Source organism: Homo sapiens, chromosome 14 (genome assembly GCF_000001405.40).
Source record: "Homo sapiens chromosome 14, GRCh38.p14 Primary Assembly".
Lineage (NCBI taxonomy): Eukaryota > Metazoa > Chordata > Mammalia > Primates > Hominidae > Homo > Homo sapiens.
The window spans coordinates 58,118,187-58,137,416 of NC_000014.9; the positions used below are offsets into that span (position 1 = coordinate 58,118,187).

Below are 19,230 nucleotides of genomic sequence, written 5' to 3' on the forward strand. Positions count from 1 at the left end.
TCTGAGTATTATTTGCTATAGAAAGTGACAGAATGATCTTTTTATCATATGGGTGTATTTCTTGTGTGGTGAGAACAGTGCTATACTGCCTGGAAATGAATCATACCTTTAACTGGGATGGAATTTTCTCTGAAGGGTGGCATGTACATGGTATTAATCATGACAACTGTTGGACTGTCACTTGCCTAGGAATTAAATGTGTGTCCTTCAACCTGTAAACAGGACAGACAGTACGTATGCAGGGGGTAGGGGCTCACTACTACTTGGTGGTGAGCCCTAGGAGAAATTCATATCTTGGTCTTGGCTCTTCTATGCGGGGGCGGGGGTGGGGAGTAGAAAATGAGAAGTTTACCCTTTACATAGGGGGAAAAAAAAAAGCCAAGCACTGAGGTGCCAGAAAGCCTGGCAAAGTGCCTGAAATATTGTGCCAGTGCTTTGGGAACAGAATATAAAACACTCAGACAGAGCACGGAATGGGTCAGGGCCCATAATCCCTAGAAACTCATTAGTGAAGATCAGAGAGAAATTTGTACCAGACGAACCTAATTCATTTTCTGTTTCTTTCACTTCTCAGTTTATTTGCTTTGTGTTCCCTTAGGTTTGAGCCAGGTCTTTTAAAAATTTCTACTAATTTCAGCTGAAACAAGTGAAAGGATGTACATCTCTTCCTGAGCCAGAGTTTTAATAGGAAACAGGATTCCTCAGAGAGCATGTGAAGCAGACACCTTAAAAAAAATCCAGAGGGAGCAGCACCAGGCTCCTGCCCACCTGGAGAATCTCCTTCTGCTGCTAAAACGTTGCAGATTCTTTATGCTGTTTTAATAGAAGAAGAAATTTCTGTAGACTATTGTGTCTAGAGATAAGCAATGTAGAAGGAGACAGAATGGCTGGAGAAGAAAAGGCCCTGGTAAATGAGGGCAAAATCAATGTAAATCTTTCAGGACCAATGTAATGCTTCCAAGTGTGATAATTTTTAAATCTTGTAAGGTCATTTAAATTGGTGTATTACATTTTTCTTCTAATCTTTTCCCTCAGGGATACACATTCATTTAAATGCTAAGAGGTAGTCCGATGGCAAAACAACTTCGTGGTTATGAATACAGCTTGATAAAGTGTAGTTGATACTGTCCACACATTATTCTATACATATTTAAGGTTTGTAATTGTTTGTCCTCCAATGCAATAAAATTCTCATGTTTGCACCAATCAAAGAATACTTACATATGTCTATCCTCATATTGAAAAATCATGCCTTTGAAAATGCCTTAATTTTCTGCAAGCATCTAAAATATCTTTGAAATTTCTACCACTCACATATAGTTCCAAGCTACGTGTTTGCCTCAGCATCTGCACAAAAGCCACCACACATGGAAAGCCCTGCTTGGACCACTGCCCACAGGGATTCTCAACCCTGGAGTCTGTGCCCAGATTAAACAGTCAGAACAAATCCTTTTGCCAGGAGTCTGAACATCATCCTCAAAAACGACATGTATCTCTTTCTATAGAAATATCTAGTTTACTGTAAACTAGATATTTATTAGCCTGAGGCTGAGCACCTGATTGCCTGTTCTTCATGGAAAAGCAGCCGCTCCAGTTGTTAAAAGCTATTCTTAAGAAATAATTCATCTAACCAGTGAGCTATGACTTGGTTGATTGCACGGCTATAAAACAATTTATTGCTAGTGTGGTGTATATGGTATCTATTCACCACTCTTTAGAATTTTTTCCATATTGTTAGGTTTGTTCCCACTCATTTTTCTACAATTATCAATAAAATTATAAATATACAGTTGTACATCACTTAACAATCGGATACATTCTGAGAAATGTGTCATTAGGCGATTTCGTCATCATGCAAACATCATAGAGTGTACATACACAAATATAGAAGGTGTAGACCTACTACACATGTAGGCTATAAGGTATAGCCTATTGCTCCTAGGCTCCAAACATGTACAGCATGTTACTGTACTGAATACTGTAGGCAACTGTAACACAATGGTAAGTATTTGTGTATCTAAACATAGAAAAGGTACAGTAAAAGTACAATATTATAATCATATGGGACCACTATCATATATGAGGTGTGTTGTTGACCAAAACTTCATTATACAGCACATTACTATAAATATATACACAAATCTATAACACAAACACTCCCCCATGCCACACACACACACACACACAAAGACACACAGGGGTATACACCAATCCAGTGTTTTTCTAGGATGGAACTAAAGTCTCTCCTGACTCTTAGAGTCCTTTTTCTCTCCTGACTCTTACTTAGAGTCCTTTTTTTGTGATCCTTTCTGCCTTCTGTCGATGAACAGAGTCAAACTCTGTAAAATATTTGAAGAGATATATTCTGAGCCAAATATGAGTAACCATGGCCCATGACACAGCCCGCAGGAGGTTGTGAGAACATGTGCCCAAGGTGGTCAGGAAGACCTGGGATTGACAGAAAGGGAATGTTCAGGTTAAGATAAAGATTGTGGAGACAAAAGTTCTTTTGAAGTCTTATAGTGGCTGCCCTTAGAAACAATAGGTGACAAATGTTTCCTATTCAGATTTTAGTTAATCTCTTTAGGATTGGGAGGGTCAGGAAGAAAAAGATCTAGCTTCGTTAATGGAGATTCTTTACAGAAGCACATTTTCCCCCACAAAGGACGCTTTGCAGGGCCATTTCAACATATGGCAAAGAAACATGTTTTGGGGTAAAATATTTATATTTTCTTCCTTGTCTCATAATGTTATGCCAGAGTCAAGTTGGAAAGTAAGTCACGATATACAGGGTTAAATAAAACCCATCTGATGAAAATTCATGATTTGTAGGGCATGGCTCTCCAGACCCCTTAGATAGGAATTTGGTCAAGATTAAAACATCAGAGTTTAGTCCTCACTTATATGTTGCATTTCTGTTTTGTAGATATCTATCTTACCTCTTCTACTAGCACTCGTGCTCCCTTAAGAGCAAGATCCACCCCCAATTATTCTTGGTATCATCTGAATAGCCAAATAAATACTTGTTAAATGCACACATAACTGAAAGAATAAATAAAACCACTGAATATGTACAAAGCTAAATCCTTTCATCATCATGAGCCATTCTGTATAATTTTATGAGTGTCTAAGATAAGCTTACCAAGCAGTGCCGGACTGGCAAAAAAAAGGCACACACACACACAAAAAATAGATGAGGGGAACCAACTCTACAAGGTTTACTTAATTGCAATTATACCAATAAATGAATTCCCTGTGGCAGGAAAGCATACCAGAAAAACGAGAGTAAATGTCAGTTATCTTTCTTCAACAGCAGAATTTGTGAACACAGCTTTATGGCAATACCTCACAATATTGATTTTAAATATTTTTGAAATACCACAGGCTATGTGAGCATTATTAGCAAACGTGATGAACATTCTGAGTGCTACGTAATGGATGTACTAACCCACAGAGTATGCAGGTACTTAGGAATAGAGCTCTGTCATAAATGCCAAAGAAAGCACGATGATTTCAGGAAAAGACAACAAAATGACTTACCATAAGAGGCAACTGATAACTGAAATCACCAGCAATTCTGTGTTTCATAATCTGTCATATAAGACACTTAAAGTGACACAAAAATGAAAACAAGAAAAGGGAACCTCATCCTTCCCTAACACATTTGGCAAAAAGTATTAGATGTTTCATGTGTTCGTGTTAATAGTTATAAAATTATTTTTTATTTAATTCCCATTCAACAGAACAGGCAACTGGGGGAGAAAGACCCAGCATTGAGTTCAAATCAAATGAAGGGCATATTCCATGGAATACTCTTTTCCATGTCATCTCCACTGTGTATCAGTTAAGTGGCTCTGTCATTGAGGCAAAGTGAAATCAGAATCCAAAGCATTTCCAAGAACAAAAGCCAATACTCGTGCCCATTCTTAACACAGAGTGAACATTCATAATCTCACACTACAGAATCACAAATAGCAGGAGACAGTTCAAGCCTATCACACTCTTCTTGATCTTTAACATCATATACCACACAGCAGCAACCAAAGGAAAAATCACTCAAACTTGGTTTTATAAATATGGCCTTCTGATGGGATTTTGCTAACTTGCGTGCTAGAAGGACTAAGGAAAACTAGGAAGAAGCCTATGAATTATTCAGTGATGTCCACTATAACACAGGGAAAGGAAGAAAATCCTACTGCCTTTCTAGAGAGACTAAGGGAGGCATTGAGAAAGCATACCTCCCTGTCACCTGACTCTACTGAAGGCCAACTAATCTTAAAGGATAAGTTTATCACCCAGTCAGCTACAGACATTAGAAAAAAACTTCAAAAGTCCACCTTAGGCCCGGAGCAAAACTTAGAAACCCTATTGAACTTAGCAACCTTGGTTTTCTATAATAGAGATCAGGAGGAGCGGTGGAACAGGACAAACGGTATAAAAAAAAAGGCCACCGCTTTAGTCATGGCCCTCAGGCAAGTGGACTTTGGAGGCTCTGGAAAAGGGAAAAGCTGGGCAAATCGAATGCCTAATAGGGCTTGCTTCCAGTGCGGTCTACCAGGACACTTTAAAAAAGATTGTCCAAATAGAAGTAAGCCGCCCCCTTGTCCATGCCCCTTATGTTGAGGGAATCACTGGAAGGCCCACTGCCCCAGGGGATGAAGGTCCTCTGAGTCAGAAACCACTAACCAGATGATCCAGCAGCAGGACTGAGGGTGCCTGGGGCAAGTGCCAGCCCATGCCATCACCCTCACAGAGCCCCAGGTATGCTTCACCATTGAGGGCCAGGAGGTTAACTGTCTCCTGGACACTGGCACAGCCTTCTCGGTCTTACTCTCCTGTCCCGGACAACTGTCCTCCAGATCTGTCACTATCCGAGGGGTCCTAGGACAGCCAGTCACTAGATACTTCTCCCAGCCACTAAGTTTTGACTGAGGAGCTTTACTCTTTTCACACGCTTTTCTAATTATGCCTGAAAGCCCCACTCCCTTGGTTAGGGAGAGACATTCTAGCAAAAGCAGGGGCCATTATACACCTGAACATAGGAGAAGGAACACCCATTTGTTATCCCCTGCTTGAGGAAGGAATTAATCCTGAAGTCTTGCCAACAGAAGGACAATATGGATGAGCAAAGAATGCTCGTCCTGTTCAAGTTAAACTAAAGGATTCTGCCTCCTTTCCCTACCAAAGGCAGTACCCCCTTAGACCCAAGGCTCAACAAGGACTCCAAAAGATTGTTAAGGACCTAAAAGCCCAAGGCCTAGTGAAATCATGCAATAGCCCCTGCAATACTCCAATTTTAGGAGTACAGAAACCCAGCAGACAGTGGAGGTTAGTGCAAGAACTCAGGATTATCAATGAGGCCGTTGTCCCTCTAGACCCAGCTGTACCTAACCCTCATACTCTGCTTTCCCAAATACCAGAGGAAGCAGTGTGGTTTACAGTCCTGGACCTTAAGGATGCCTTTTTCAGCATCCCTGTACATCCTGACTCTCAATTCTTGTTTGCCTTTGAAGATCCTTCAAACCCAACGTCTCAACTCACCTGGACTGTTTTACCCCAAGGGTTCAGGGATAGCCCCCATCTATTTGGCCAGGCATTAGCCCAAGACTTGAGCCAATTCTCATACCTGGACACTCTTGTCCTTCGGTACATGGATGATTTACTTTTAGCTGCCAGTTCAGAAACCTTGTGCCATCAAGCCACCCAAGCGCTCTTAAATTTCCTTGCTACCTGTGGCTACAAGGTTTCCAAACCAAACGCTCAGCACTGCTCACAGCAGGTTAAATACTTAGGGCTAAAATTATCCAAAGGTACCAAGGCCCTTGGTGAGGAACGTATCCAGCCTATACTGGCTTACCCTCATCCCAAAACCCTAAAGCAACTAAGAGGGTTCCTTGGCATAACAGGTTTCTGCCAAATATGGATATTCCCAGGTACAGCAAAATAGCCAGACCATTATATACACTAATTAAGGAAACTCAGAAAGCCAATACCCATTTAGTAAGATGGACACCTGAAGCAGAAGCAGCTTTCCAGGCCCTAAAGAAGGCCCTAACCCAAGCCCCAGTGTTAAGCTTGCCAACAGAGCAAGACTTTTCTTTATATGTCATAGAAAAAACAGGAATAGCTCTAGGAGTCCTTACACAGATCCAAGGGACAAGCTTGCAACCCATGGCATACCTGAGTAAGGAAATTGATGTAGTGGCAAAGGGTTGGCCTCATTGTTTACGGGTAGTAGCGGCAGTAGCAGTCTTAGTATCTGAAGCAGTTAAAATAATACAGGGAAGAGATTTTATTGTGTGGACATCTTATGATGTGAATGGCATACTGACTGCTAAAGGAGACTTGTGGCTGTCAGACAACCGTTTACTTAAATATCAGGCTCTATTACTTGAAGGGCCAGTGCTGTGACTGCATACTTGTGCAACTCTTAATCCAGCAACATTTCTTCCAGACAATAAAGAAAAGATAGAACATAACTGTCAACAAGTAATTGCTCAAACCTACGCTGCTCGAGGGGACCTTTTAGAGGTTCCCTTGACTGATCCCAACCTCAGCTTGTATACTGATGGAAGTTCCTTTGTAGAAAAGGGACTTTGAAAAGCGAGGTATGCAGTGGTCAGTGATAATGGAATACTTAAAAGTAATCCCCTCACTCCAGGAACTAGTGCTCAGTTGGCAGAACTAATAGCCCTCACTTGGGCACTAAAATTAGGAGAAGGAAAAAAGGTAAATATATATACAGACTCTAAGTATGCTTACCTAGTCCTCCATGCCCATGCAGCAATATGGAGAGAAAGGGAATTCCTAACTTCCAAGGGAACACCTATTAAACATCAGGAAGTCTTTAGGAGATTATTATTGGCTGTACAGAAACCTAAAGAGGTGGCAGTCTTACACTGCCGGGGTCATCAGAAAGGAAAGGAAAGGAAAATAGAAGGAAACCACCAAGTGGACATTGAAGCCAAAAGAGCCACAAGGCAGGACCCTCCATTTGAAATGCTTATAGAAGGACCCCTAGTATGGGGTAATCCCCTCCGAGAAACCAAGCCCCACTACTCAGCAGGAAAAATAGAATAGGGAACCTCATGAGGACATACTTTCCTCCTCTCCAGATGGCTAGCCACCGAAGAAGGAAAAATACTTTTGCCTGCAGCTAACCAATAGAAATTACTTAAAAACCTTCACCAAACCTTTCAGTTAGGCATTGATAGCACCCATCAGATGGCCAAATTATTATTTACTGGACCAGGCCTTTTCAAAACTATCAAGCAGATAGTCAGGGCCTGTGAAGTATGCCAAAGAAATAATCCCCTGCACTGCAGGCCATACATTTCAATCCCTGTATCTTTAATCTCCTTGTTAAGTTTGTCTCTTCCAGAATCAAAGCTGTAAAACTACCAATCGTTCTTCAAATGGAGCCCCAGATACAGTCCATGACTAAAATCTGCCACAGACCCCTGGACTGGCCTGCTAGCCAATGCTCTGATGTTAATGACATCAAAGGCACTCCTCCCGAGGAAATCTCAACTGCACAACCCCTACTATGCCCCAATTCAGCAGGAAGCAGTTAGAACGGTCGTCAGCCATCCTCTCCAACAGCACTTGGGTTTTCCTGTTGAGAGCGGGGACTGAGAGACAGGACTAGCTGGGTTTCCTAGGCCGATTAAGAATCCCTAAGCCTAGCTGGGAAGGTGACCACGTCCACCTTTAAACATGGGGCTTGCAACTTAGCTCACACCCGACCAGTCAGATAGTAAAGAGAGCTCACTAAAACGCTAATTAGGCTAAAACAGGAGGCAAAGAAATAGCCAATCATCTATCACCTGAGACCACAGGGGGAGGGACAATGATCGGGATATAAACCCAGGCATTCGAGCTGGCAACAGCTACCCTCTTTGGGTCCCCTCCCTCTGTATGGGAGCTCTGTCTTCCCTCTATTAAATCTTGCAACTGCAAAAACAAAAGAAAAAAATCTTAAAAACTTCACCCTAATGCTACTTAAACAATGTATTTCCCAATTTTTTTCTGATTGATGATAAAAGAAAGAGACAAAGACATTGGCTTCAGTATGAGGCCACCAGACTCCCAAGAATATCATTCAGTCACCTGAATGAAGGCACACTTTTCAGAAATGACTTTCTCCTGAAATTCCCGTTATCAGTAAAGAAGACCGCAGAAGGGGACAGAACTAGAAACCCCAGATAAGGAAAGAGAGATAACACCACTATCTCTTCAGCAGAGGAAATTAAGAGACACTGCAAATAAATACTGGAATTGTTCTCTGAGGACAAAAACAACCATGATATTAAATACACACATACACATGCATGCACACATGTGCACACATGAAGGCAGGAAAATGGATATCTCTGAAACAGATTAAACAATGAGTGGCAAAATAATGACAGCTTTCTGCCCCATGTATGGTGCCTGGCTGGGAAAAAAATGTCAAAAACGCAATCATTTAAAAACTAAATATAAAGACAGACAAAACAGTCTTAGAAAAGCAAAAACTGTCAGAAAAGAAAAAAACTGTAGTTAAAGGATATATTTGGTTTTGTATTTTAAAAAATTAAGTTATTAAAGAAAGTTAAACGTAGCTTCTCCATTGGATTTTTTTTTTTTTTTTTTGAGATGGAATCTTGCTCTGTTGCCCAGGCTGGAATGCAGTGGTGTGATCTCGGCTCACTGCAACCTATGCTTCCCGGGTTCAAGTGATTCTCCTGCCTCAGCCTCCCATGTGGCTGGGATTATAGGTGTGTGCTACCATGCCTGGCTAATTTTTTGTATTTTTAGTAGAGGTGGAGTTTCACTGTGTTAGCTGGGATGGTCTCGATCTCCTGACCCCGTGATCCACCTGCCTCGACCTCCCAAAGTGCTGGGATTACCCCGGCCAAGAATTAAAAATCTCTATGTTAAAGGTAATTCTCCAGCAAGTCAATTATTATGAGTTTGTTTCATAAGGTCTATAATAAGCGGGCCTTTTGAAACAAATGAGGAAATGGGGATTTAATATGGTTTGGTTGTGTCCCCACCCAAATTTCATCTTGAATTGTAGCTCCCATAATCCCCATGTGCCATGGGAGGGACCCAGTGGGAGGTAACTGAATCATGGGGGTGGGTCTTTCCCATGCTGTTCTCATGACAGTGAATAAGTCTCAAGAGATCTGATGGTTTTATAAAGGGCAGTTCCCCTATACAAGCTCTCTTGCCTGCTGTCATATAAGATGTAACTTTGCTACTCCTTTGCCTTTCGCCATGATTGTGAGGCCTCCCCAGCCATGTGGAACCTCTTTCACTTTATTAAACCTCTTTTCTTTATAAATTACCCAGTCTCAGGTATGTCTTTATTAGCAGCATGAGAACAGACTAATACAGGGTTGAGACAATATCATGGGATTATACGCAACACTCAACATGCATGCCCACAGAAAGATATTAAATAAGACCAATCGGATCAAGAATTCAAGTTCCCCAGATGAGGAACACTGGAATTGCTTTTTTCTTGCAGAAGAGCTAACCCAGAAGAGTCCAAGCAAATTCAGTGTTCCTGTCACTGTATTCCTGTCTCTGTGTGGTCCGCACCATGGCAAGCACCAACTGGCTCCCCATTTCCCGCTAGCTGGAAGGCCCAGATATTGACTTCCAAATATTAAGGGAAGAAGTGCGGGGGGTGGGAGGGAGGACCGTCAAAGACTTAATCACAAGATCTGAGAAATCTCTGTTTTTATATTCTTATCTCCCATATGTTCTTAGAAACCTACTATCTGACACAAATAGACCCACAGTAGATTTTTCTGAATATGGAATTGCCAAAGCAACAACCTTCCATTCTACAGAATTATTATTACCACTTCAGAGCACAGATTAATTTCCATCTTCCATGGGGGTATACAGAAAGAATAAAATAAAAGTTTGATTTATTTAGAGTAAGCAGATATCTTCAGACAGATTTCTAACATACAGAAAGCGGGACTTCTTTAAGTAGGTAAGAAATATTAGTACTAAAATATTTTAAAGAGTTAACCCACATAAATTCCAGGTATGTTTTCAAGACTAATCAGAAATTTTAAGTTGGCATTTTAGAGCAGGAAAGACATTAATATTCAACAAGAGAAGAAAATCAACCTATACAAAGATCATGTCCAAAAATTAATTTATGCAGTTATAAAATATGTATAAAATTTGTCATTATCCCATTTTGAATAAAAAGAACATGTTTGTTATGTTTGTATTTCAAAGCTGCTAAATACAGCCCTCGTAGAGGTATGCCTGAAATGAGTATAAGGCATTTATCATTGTGAGAATATTTATCCCTAAAAAAAAGTCATACATAGAAATCAAATGTAACAGGCAAGGTGAAAAATAAACCATTATCCCTTCAAAAATCAAACTGCATTTTTGCTGACAAGATAAAAGACACTGAAATATGCACAAGGTGGCAGGCACTTATCAAGGCAGGCTTTCTTCAGTGACTAAGAAAAGGAAAACACACCAAAACTTCTCCCACTCTACCAATTCACATCACTCAGGTAGCACGTCTGTCTTCACAGACAGCTGGCAAACTCTTCAGAAGCAGACCCCTGTTACATGTTGAATTGTGTCCCTCAAAATGGTATGTTCAAGTCCTGACCGGTAGTACCAGTGAATGTGACCATATTTGAAAACAGGGTCTTGGCATACATAATTAACATGAGGTCATTAGGATGGGCCCTAATCCAATGACTGGTGTTCTTAAAAAGCAAGGAAAACTTGAGCACAGAGACACAGACGGCCATGTGAATAGATTGGAGTCATGCTGCCTCAAGCCAAGGAAACCCTGGGGTTCCTCCCCTAGAGGCTTTGGAGAGAGCAAGCCCTGCCTATACCTTGACTTCCAACTTGCAGGCTCCAGACTGCGTAAGAATAAATTTCTGTTGTTTTAAGCCACCCAGTTTGTGGTACTTAGTTATGACAGCCCTTGAAAACTCATACCCCCTCTCAGTCATCATGTTGTAGAGATGTGAGAAGCAGGGAAGAAGACAGGGTGCAAGTAGACATCATTTTTAGACTGATTTGGGCTGTTAGTTATCGCTTAAAGGATAAACAGAGCTGCGGATTCAGAAATTTCCATAAAGGTTCATTCTTCTTTGGTGTCTAATGTCTAACAAAGGATGTCCCTTTCCAAATCCCATGGAGAAAAGTACCTCATTTCCCAGAGAAATGCTCCTGCCCCCTAGTGAAAAAGGAAGATATTAAAATAACATATAAACTCATCACAAAGACTAAAACAAGAAAGGCTGCTAACCTGACGTAAGTAATACAGGGTTCTAGATAAGAAAAAAAATTACCTGCCTCTAGGCATAAGCTTATGGAAGAATTAAAATGTTTCACCCAGTCAAAGCTTCAAGCTGCACTTATATTCCCGGGCAAGGTAGAAAAACATGCATTGAAAATAGAGGCCTCCAATACATCCAGGAGTCTAGTAGGTTGATTTGTTTAAATCAGTGTAGTCAATTCAGCTTTTGGAGGACTAGAAGCACCAGCATAAAACTAACAATGGTATTATTAACGTATACTAATTAAACATAAGTTGTACTCCTTGGCATTTACGAGTAAAAATGTGCTAATTCAAAATCCTAAGCCCGACAATGTAGCAAAAATAATATCTTTTGACCAAAAATATTTTTGTAACCCATGACAAGGATAATTTAGATCAAAAACTAACAAAATATATTATCAAAAAGTAGCAAAATTGAATTGTGTAGAAGAAAAGAACTAAAACCCCAGGACACCTTAGGCATGTCGGAAAATTCTAACATATTTCAATACAACTGCCATCATCTACTAAATTTAGAAAGTTACTGCAGTTTCACAAGTATGGATTATTCACAAATATTTTTTTTCTCTGATTTAATGAGCCCTGCTGGGTAAAGCTGTCATGTCTAACTCAGGTTAATTTAGGGAAACCTGCTTTTTCCAGATGGCATCAAGGAGAGCAGACAGTTTATATGAGACGCTAAACTCAAAGTCATACAGTATTTATCTTAATGTGGAATGCAAGAGCTGTTAGCCTTTGAGCCCACTTTGATCTGTTTCTTAAACCAGGCTTCTACTGTGGAATTCTCCACACTGCTCCTAAAATGTCATGTTCCTCTGTCAGCAGCCAACCAGTGTTACCCAGAAAGTCTGCACCAGAGTCAGCTGCAAACCTAGCTCAACCTCCTTCCCTTCGCTTTAGACAAAAAAAAATAATAGCACATCCTATGTCTCTTACTGCAGCAAACACATGGCTAATTGAGTGCCCAAAAGCTTACCAGTGTTCCAGATTAGTTTAAGAAATTCTGCACTATAAATCTCTGGACATTTTGTATCTCCAGCCAGGAACTATTCACCTGCCAAAATGCTGATTAATTACGTGACTATGTGTCATATTTCTAGTCTTCTTATTTGTTGATAGGCAGCCGTGCCTCAAGTTTCTTTTACATGCTCAAAGCCAATGTCTTGGAAAGTACAATTTGGCATGAATTTCTTGGTCTTAGTAAATAAAGAGACTGCCTATCTCCAAATAGTAGCACAGACTAACCCAGAGATGTTACTAAGGGAGAATAACCCAGCATTAACAACCAGAGCAATGCTGTTAAAATACACCCCACATTAAAACTTGCAACCAAGAAAATCTGGTGGGGAAACTCAACATCTCCATCTTAACCTAGTATTCTCAATCCAGCTTGAATACTGAAATCATCTAAGGCAGTCTTTTAAAATGCTGATGCCAGATTCCACCCCCCACCATCTTAATCTCAATCACTGGAGAGTGATTCAGGCACTGGGATGTTTCAAAAGCTCTCCAAGGTATTTCTAATGGTCAACTATAGTTGAGAACCACAGATCCATAGCACAGTCAGCAAACTTGCTCTATAAAGGGCCCTATCATAAATGTTTCAGGCTTTGTGGGCCACTGAGTCTCTGTCACAGCTTCTTAATTCTGCTGCTATGGCACAAAAGCAGCCACACACATATGAAAATGAATTAGTATGGCTGTGTTCCAATATAGCTTTATTTATGAACACTGGAATTTGAATTTTTATAACTTTTCTATGTCACAAAATATTATTCTTCTTTTGACTTTTTTTTTCAATCATTTCAAAATGTAAAAACCATTCTTAGCTTACAAACCATTCAAAAACAAGTGGCAGGCCAGATTTGGCCCAGCTGTAGTTTACTGTCCTCTGATCTATACTGCAGATTGAATATACTCCTACTTAATTCTTTTTCAAAAACATTTGCTCAGTGACTCACTCAACCAGTCCTTGAAAAGATCCCCTTCAAAGCATGAATACCTTCAGATTCAAGTTGGTCCAGGCCATATGAGGCAGCTGTATTAACACGAGTAATAGATGGAACAACAGTTCTTCTCTCAGAGGATGCCTCCAAAGCAGGAAGTGCAGGGGAAATGCTGGGTTCCCCCACCATTATTCCAGGAGGTGTCACTGGAGATCCCAGAACTGGTGTGAACTCCTCATTTGGCCCTGTGACTGTGTCCATTTGTTCTGCCAAACACAACAGACAGGACTTGACCCACAAGATAATCATTATGGCAAATGTAAGCATGTGCTTTCACTTTTTAGGCAAGAAATGATTAAACCAATATCATACAATACAGCAAGTTTGGCACTTGGGTCAGCTCTCCTTTCCCATATTGTATTAATCCAACTCCCCAAAGCAAAGACTTTCAGGAAAATGTATTGTCTTACAGGAAAATGTATTATCTCTAATCAGAACTTTGTTTTTAAATTTTAATCTCCCATTTATTCTATTGGCAATATTATGGATGTTGTAAGATTTTATATTATGTATTGCCAAAGGTAAAATAATTAACAAAAATATATTAAACTGTATTTCAAAGACTACTTTGGAAAGATCGAGTGTCTTTCTCAAAATCAAGTCATAGAGTAAGAGCCTAGATCTGGGTCTGGAATGTCAATTTAAAAGCAGCCAAATATAGCCCCAGGAATTCCCAAGTCCAGAGACTCTAGAACAGCAGTAGCTTTCACATAGATTTGAAAACTTCACTGCCTTTAAGAGATCAGAGCATTTGAGAGCCTCCTATATAGAAAGCACTTTGTAGACATGATTTCAAATTCTTAAAATAACCTATAAAACAGATAGGCATTATTTAGAGGTGAACAAACCAAAGCTTACAGAAGTTAAGAAACTTAGCTTGAGGCTACAATATTAGTGAAAGCCAAAGTTGCGATTCAAATTCAGGTCCATGCTTTTTTCACCTCATCCCCCCCGGCTCCTAGCAGCAGAGTTGCCAAACAGGAAGAGCCTTCTCAGGGGGTCTGGCCTTTGAGGACCCAGAGGTGAGCCACCAGGAGACCTTACTTACAAACTAAACCCTTGTCCCTTTTTTTTTTTTTTTTTTTTTTTGGCACGGAGTCTCGCTCTGTCACCAAGCCGGAGTGCAGTGGCGCCATCTCCGCTCCCTGCAAGCTCCGCCCCCCGGGTTCACACCATTCTCCTGCCTCAGCCTCCCGAGTAGCTCGGACTACAGGCGCCCGCCACCACGCCTGGGTAATTTTTTGTATTTTTAGTAGAGACGGGGTTTCACCACGTTGGCCAGGATGGTCTCAATCTCCTGACTTCGTGATCCACCCGCCTCAGCCTCCCAAAGTGCTGGGATTACAGGCGTGAGCCACTGCGCCCGGCCAACCCTTGTCCTTTTAAGGCTCTGCCACACCTCTTCAAACAGGACAGAGCTCACACCCCTTTCCAGGTAAAGGTGTGTGTGTGTGTGTACGTGCACGCACGCGCGCGCTGATGGCAATGTCGGCTGCCTCACTCATTCTATTCCTAGTCCACTTAACAGAAGAGATCCACCCCCAAAACAGAGTCCAATATCCTCCCTTACAGACCTTCCACAGTGGGAGTAACTTCAAAAGACAAAGGGACGACTGTAGTTGAAATTGTAGTGGCCAGAGGCTCCCATCTTCTTGACAGCTGAGTAACACCAGGAACGTCAGACACAGGAGAGGGGTCCTCCTTTTCTTCCTCAGTCTTGCCACTGTCTCTGATAAGCTCGAGGGTAGCAACCTGCTCTTGTGTCACCATGGATAAAGTGGCATCTGGCTCTTGAACAGCTGTTGTCATCTCTTGAGTGATGATGTCTTAAAGGGGGGAAAACATTTAAAAATAGACCAAATCCCTATTTTTTTAAAAAAAAAAAATCATGATATGATTAAAAACTTGGGGGGAGGGGAGCAGATGCTATTTCAGGAACTGGGGAAGCAAAGAGAGAACTCAGAAGTAAAATGACAGTAAATAAATGTTTTCTCTGTCACGCTTTCAGTAGTTGTGAATCAATCTACAACAGAGATAAAGAAGTTCATGGAAAAAGCTAAAATGAAATCTAAAACAAAGTAGGAAGATCAATTGCTGAGCTCCCTTTCAGGCACATGTTTGAATGTCAACATAATCAGTTTGTTAAGAAACAAGTTATACAGAACTAAGTTACACTCAAAAACTCTCAGAAACATTTGTATACAGTGTATTAATTTTCACATTTGCATTTCTGGAGGGTCAAGGGAAGCTCACATTTTAAAATAAAGGAGTAATAATTACAATAACTAATATTTACTGAGTTTCTATGTTAAACACCATGCGAAGTGCATGACATATAGTATCTTAAGTATGCATCCTCCCATATGTACTACAGGGAGATAGGTACTAATATCATTCCACAGAAGCTGCATCATAGTGCTCAAGAATGCAGGTTCCAGAGCCAACCTGCCTTAGTCACTTACTAGCTGTGTAAGCATAAACAAATTACTTCACATATGTGGGCCTTGAGTTTCCTCAGCTATAAAATGGGGATAATAATAGTATCTATCTCACAGAGTTACTACAAAGATTAGATAACACAAGTAAAACACCTAGTATTTGGTAAGTATTCAATAATTACCAGCTATTATAACTCCACTTTACAGAACTTAGGTTTAGAAAAGCTAAGGAGCATGCCTTTGTTCACATTGCCAGCACCCTTAACCACTGTACTAACTATGCCCAAGGAACACCTTGGAGAGGCCTCTGTAGAAGGTGTGCATTTGCTTTCAGATCAGAAAAGGAAATGAATAGAACTGGCAGGGTATGACATTATCTGTCACAGGTCCACTTGCTTTACAACATTATAATTCCCTCAAATACAGTATTAAAGACTGTTTATAATAATACTCTGCTTTCTCTTCAGATCATATAAATGTTTTGCCTTCAACAGACTACTTATAAGTCAAGATTTTCCCTCTTATGAAGGGGCTATGCTAGAAATTTCAAACACTGTACAGAGCAACTACTAAAAACTTAATTTCTTGAAAACCTTATTGTCTTTTTTAAAATATTAGTTCTAGATACTAAGTATTTTAGCAAGATCAGTAAGTTATACAATGAAAAATAACATTCTAGGGATAGCTTTAAAAGGGTTCCTCAAAGTTTTTATTAATGACAGGCCAGGCACGGTGGCTCATGCCTGTAATACCAGCACTTTGGGAGACTGAGGCGGGAGGATCACAAGGTCAGGAGTTCGAGACCAGCCTGGCCAATATTGTGAAACCCCATCTCTACTAAAAACACAACAAAATTAGCTGGGCATAGTGGCACATTCCTGTCATCCCAGCCACCCGGGAGGATGAGGCAGGACAATTGCCTGAACCCAGGAGGCGGAGGTTGCAATGACCTGAGATCATGCCACTACACTCCAGCCTAGATGACAGAGGGAGACTCTGTCTCAAAAAAAAAAAAAAAAAAAATTTATTAATGACATCATGGCATATCCTATTACTTTAAAAAAAAGTTGCCTTGTAAACAATGTATTTGCTTTAAAATAATGTGTATTTGTTTGTTTTTCACTATAAGCAGTTCCTTTTCTTGGTACTCATCCAGTTAACACTATTTTTCCTTTTGAATTGAAGAGATTTTTACATTTGATGGATTAATATACCTGGTTACAGGACAAACAATGTGAGTCAGGGTAAGGTTTTCACATGAGCTTCATATTTGCACTCTATACCATTGTTTGAATTTTGTCTCTCTTTTTTTCCTTTCTCCAATATTACTGTAAATCCCTAGAGAGCCAGGATTCATTGTCTTTCTGTACCTCTAGCACATAGGGCAATGCTCTGTTTGCCACAAGAAGACAATAACATATAGTTTTACCATTTTAAGCAGTAGGTGTTCTCTATGTTGCCCTCATTTTTGAAAGCATAATGAACACTTTTGAGAACATATATACAAAAATAAATATGCAGGCGCTATTTGTAATTTTATGAAATAGCAAGAAATGTCAAAATGCATAGTATCTTGAATAAATAATTGCTGTTAGAAAAGTGAGAACTAGAAATAGTAATAAAATTTTTTAAAATAAACTTTAAAGTTTCCTAACATCTCTCATTCTTCCTACTTCATGTAGGAGAAAAAATAATTATATATTATTTTTAAAACCTGATCTTCAGTTGAAGCAGCTAACTGACTCAAAGGACTGACTATCATCTCAACATACCCATCTGTTAATAATATCTAAAAACACCAAGAAATCATTGCATATTCTGAAGAAGATAATGTCCTAAGTGGTCCCTGGACTCTAAATGATTAGCATTTAAGTTGTTTACTTCAGAAAAATACTTATGATCACCTGAAAATGAGTAGTAAAACATTTTGGCTATTGTATAACAACTGCTGTCAATAATTGCAATCTTTCCCATTCCTTTTAACTCTATGGGACAAAAAAAAAAGTAAAACAAAAGTAATAACTTGACTGTTCCTCTTGGTACAAAGAACATTTAGAAGTTGTTTGATTGACTTTGGGTAAGGTAGGCAATCACATTGGATAACTCCAGTCTGAATGGTTCTATATCCTCATTTGTAAATTAATTGAAAACATATTTATCGAGTTCCTACTATGTGCCAGGAATTGTGCTATGTGCTAGAAATTAAAAGTAGTGGCCTTTTAAAAGATTATAATTTGCTGAGGCAATTATGACTAAGAACCATATTCAAAAACCAAAATAATCAGGAAATTACCAATTCCATTTTACTTTTTAGGCTGTACTAATAGAAGCTAATACAAGTTTAGTACATAAGAATCATGGATTCAATTGTGCAGTGAACAATCTGGGGCTATATGACTTAATGCTCCAAAAGTAAAAGTTCTATGAAGAACTGAAGTAAACTTGTTGCTCAGTCATATCTAAGGTCTTCATGGCCATGTGCACCCAACTCCATGTAAAAACCAACTTACAAGACATTTTATGGAAGCTTCTATGAAAACTGAACAGCACACTGGGTCTTTAAACAAAAATGAATTAGACATGTAAAATTCAATCTTTCTTTTGTCATTTATCAAGTGATCTTTCACCATTTTAATTCAATCTCAACACCTTATAAAACATATTACTGATTTGATATTTTCTATTAATTGGGCTACTTGGCTGAAGTAACACGTTGTACATGTTCCAAAACAATTTGGAATGAGCATGTATACATTACACTAAGCTTTTCCTTCCCAATGTTGTTATCTGTCCAACTACCCATAATAAAAGAAAACCATTATCCATCAACAACAAATAGAAGGCTTTCCAGCTTATAATATTCACGGATGCAAAGGCCAAAAGAAAGTAGAAAATGCAGAACCAAGCAAGCAGATGATTTATCTTCCACCCTACCCCCTTCCTTATTTCTAAATGTTTTCTTTTTAGGAAAACAAAGTTAGAAAATTCATATAGTTAATACTATGAGATAACTGCAGTACTTACCTAAAGCTTTTTTTGTAAGAAATGTAAGGGATGTGAGCATATTTTACAACAATGTGTATGTAAGTATCCAACATTATTACAGTTTAAACATATAGCTAATTCTTTCACATTTTCTTGTATATTTATACATTTTCATAGTAAAATGTTTGAAAAATATTAGTCTAAAATAAAAATAATAGTATCAGGGTTTTTCAACCTCAGCGCTATTAACATGTTGGCTGGGATAATTCTTTGTTATGGGGGGCTGTCCTACGTAGTCTAAGATATTTAACAATATCTTAGCACCCCTCAGTTCTAACAACTAAAAATGTCTCCAAACATTGCTAAATGTCCCCTGGGGGAAGGGGAAAGCAAAATAAAACTATCCCCAGTTAAAGAACACTGGTCTATAGGCAGGATTTAAATTTGGGTGTAATTTTTTTTTCTTTTTCTTTTTTGA

The 19,230-nt window shown here is 39.5% G+C and overlaps 1 protein-coding gene across 2 annotated transcripts in view, besides 2 other annotated features; it reads right to left on the reverse strand.

Annotated features, from left to right (window-relative positions):
* The window catches only part of ARMH4 (armadillo like helical domain containing 4), a 151,453-nt gene that overhangs the window by 117,426 nt on the left and 14,797 nt on the right, over positions 1-19,230 (reverse strand). For both annotated transcript variants that reach the window (NM_001001872.4, NM_001320173.3), the window contains exons 3-4: positions 14,904-15,155; positions 13,326-13,535 (exon numbers count right to left, since the gene is read on the reverse strand). In NM_001001872.4, the coding sequence (NP_001001872.2) occupies positions 13,326-13,535; positions 14,904-15,155 (462 nt within the window). The remainder of the gene's footprint in view (positions 1-13,325; positions 13,536-14,903; positions 15,156-19,230) is intronic.
* Positions 2,281-2,848: an enhancer, noted in NCBI's record as "NANOG hESC enhancer chr14:58587185-58587752 (GRCh37/hg19 assembly coordinates)". NCBI's record gives its function as "activates a minimal SCP1, AML or CMV promoter by ChIP-STARR-seq in naive H9 embryonic stem cells {active_cell/tissue: H9 hESC(naive)}" and the evidence as "EXISTENCE:reporter gene assay evidence [ECO:0000049][PMID:30033119]".
* Positions 10,486-10,987: an enhancer, noted in NCBI's record as "NANOG hESC enhancer chr14:58595390-58595891 (GRCh37/hg19 assembly coordinates)". NCBI's record gives its function as "activates a minimal SCP1, AML or CMV promoter by ChIP-STARR-seq in primed H9 embryonic stem cells {active_cell/tissue: H9 hESC(primed)}" and the evidence as "EXISTENCE:reporter gene assay evidence [ECO:0000049][PMID:30033119]".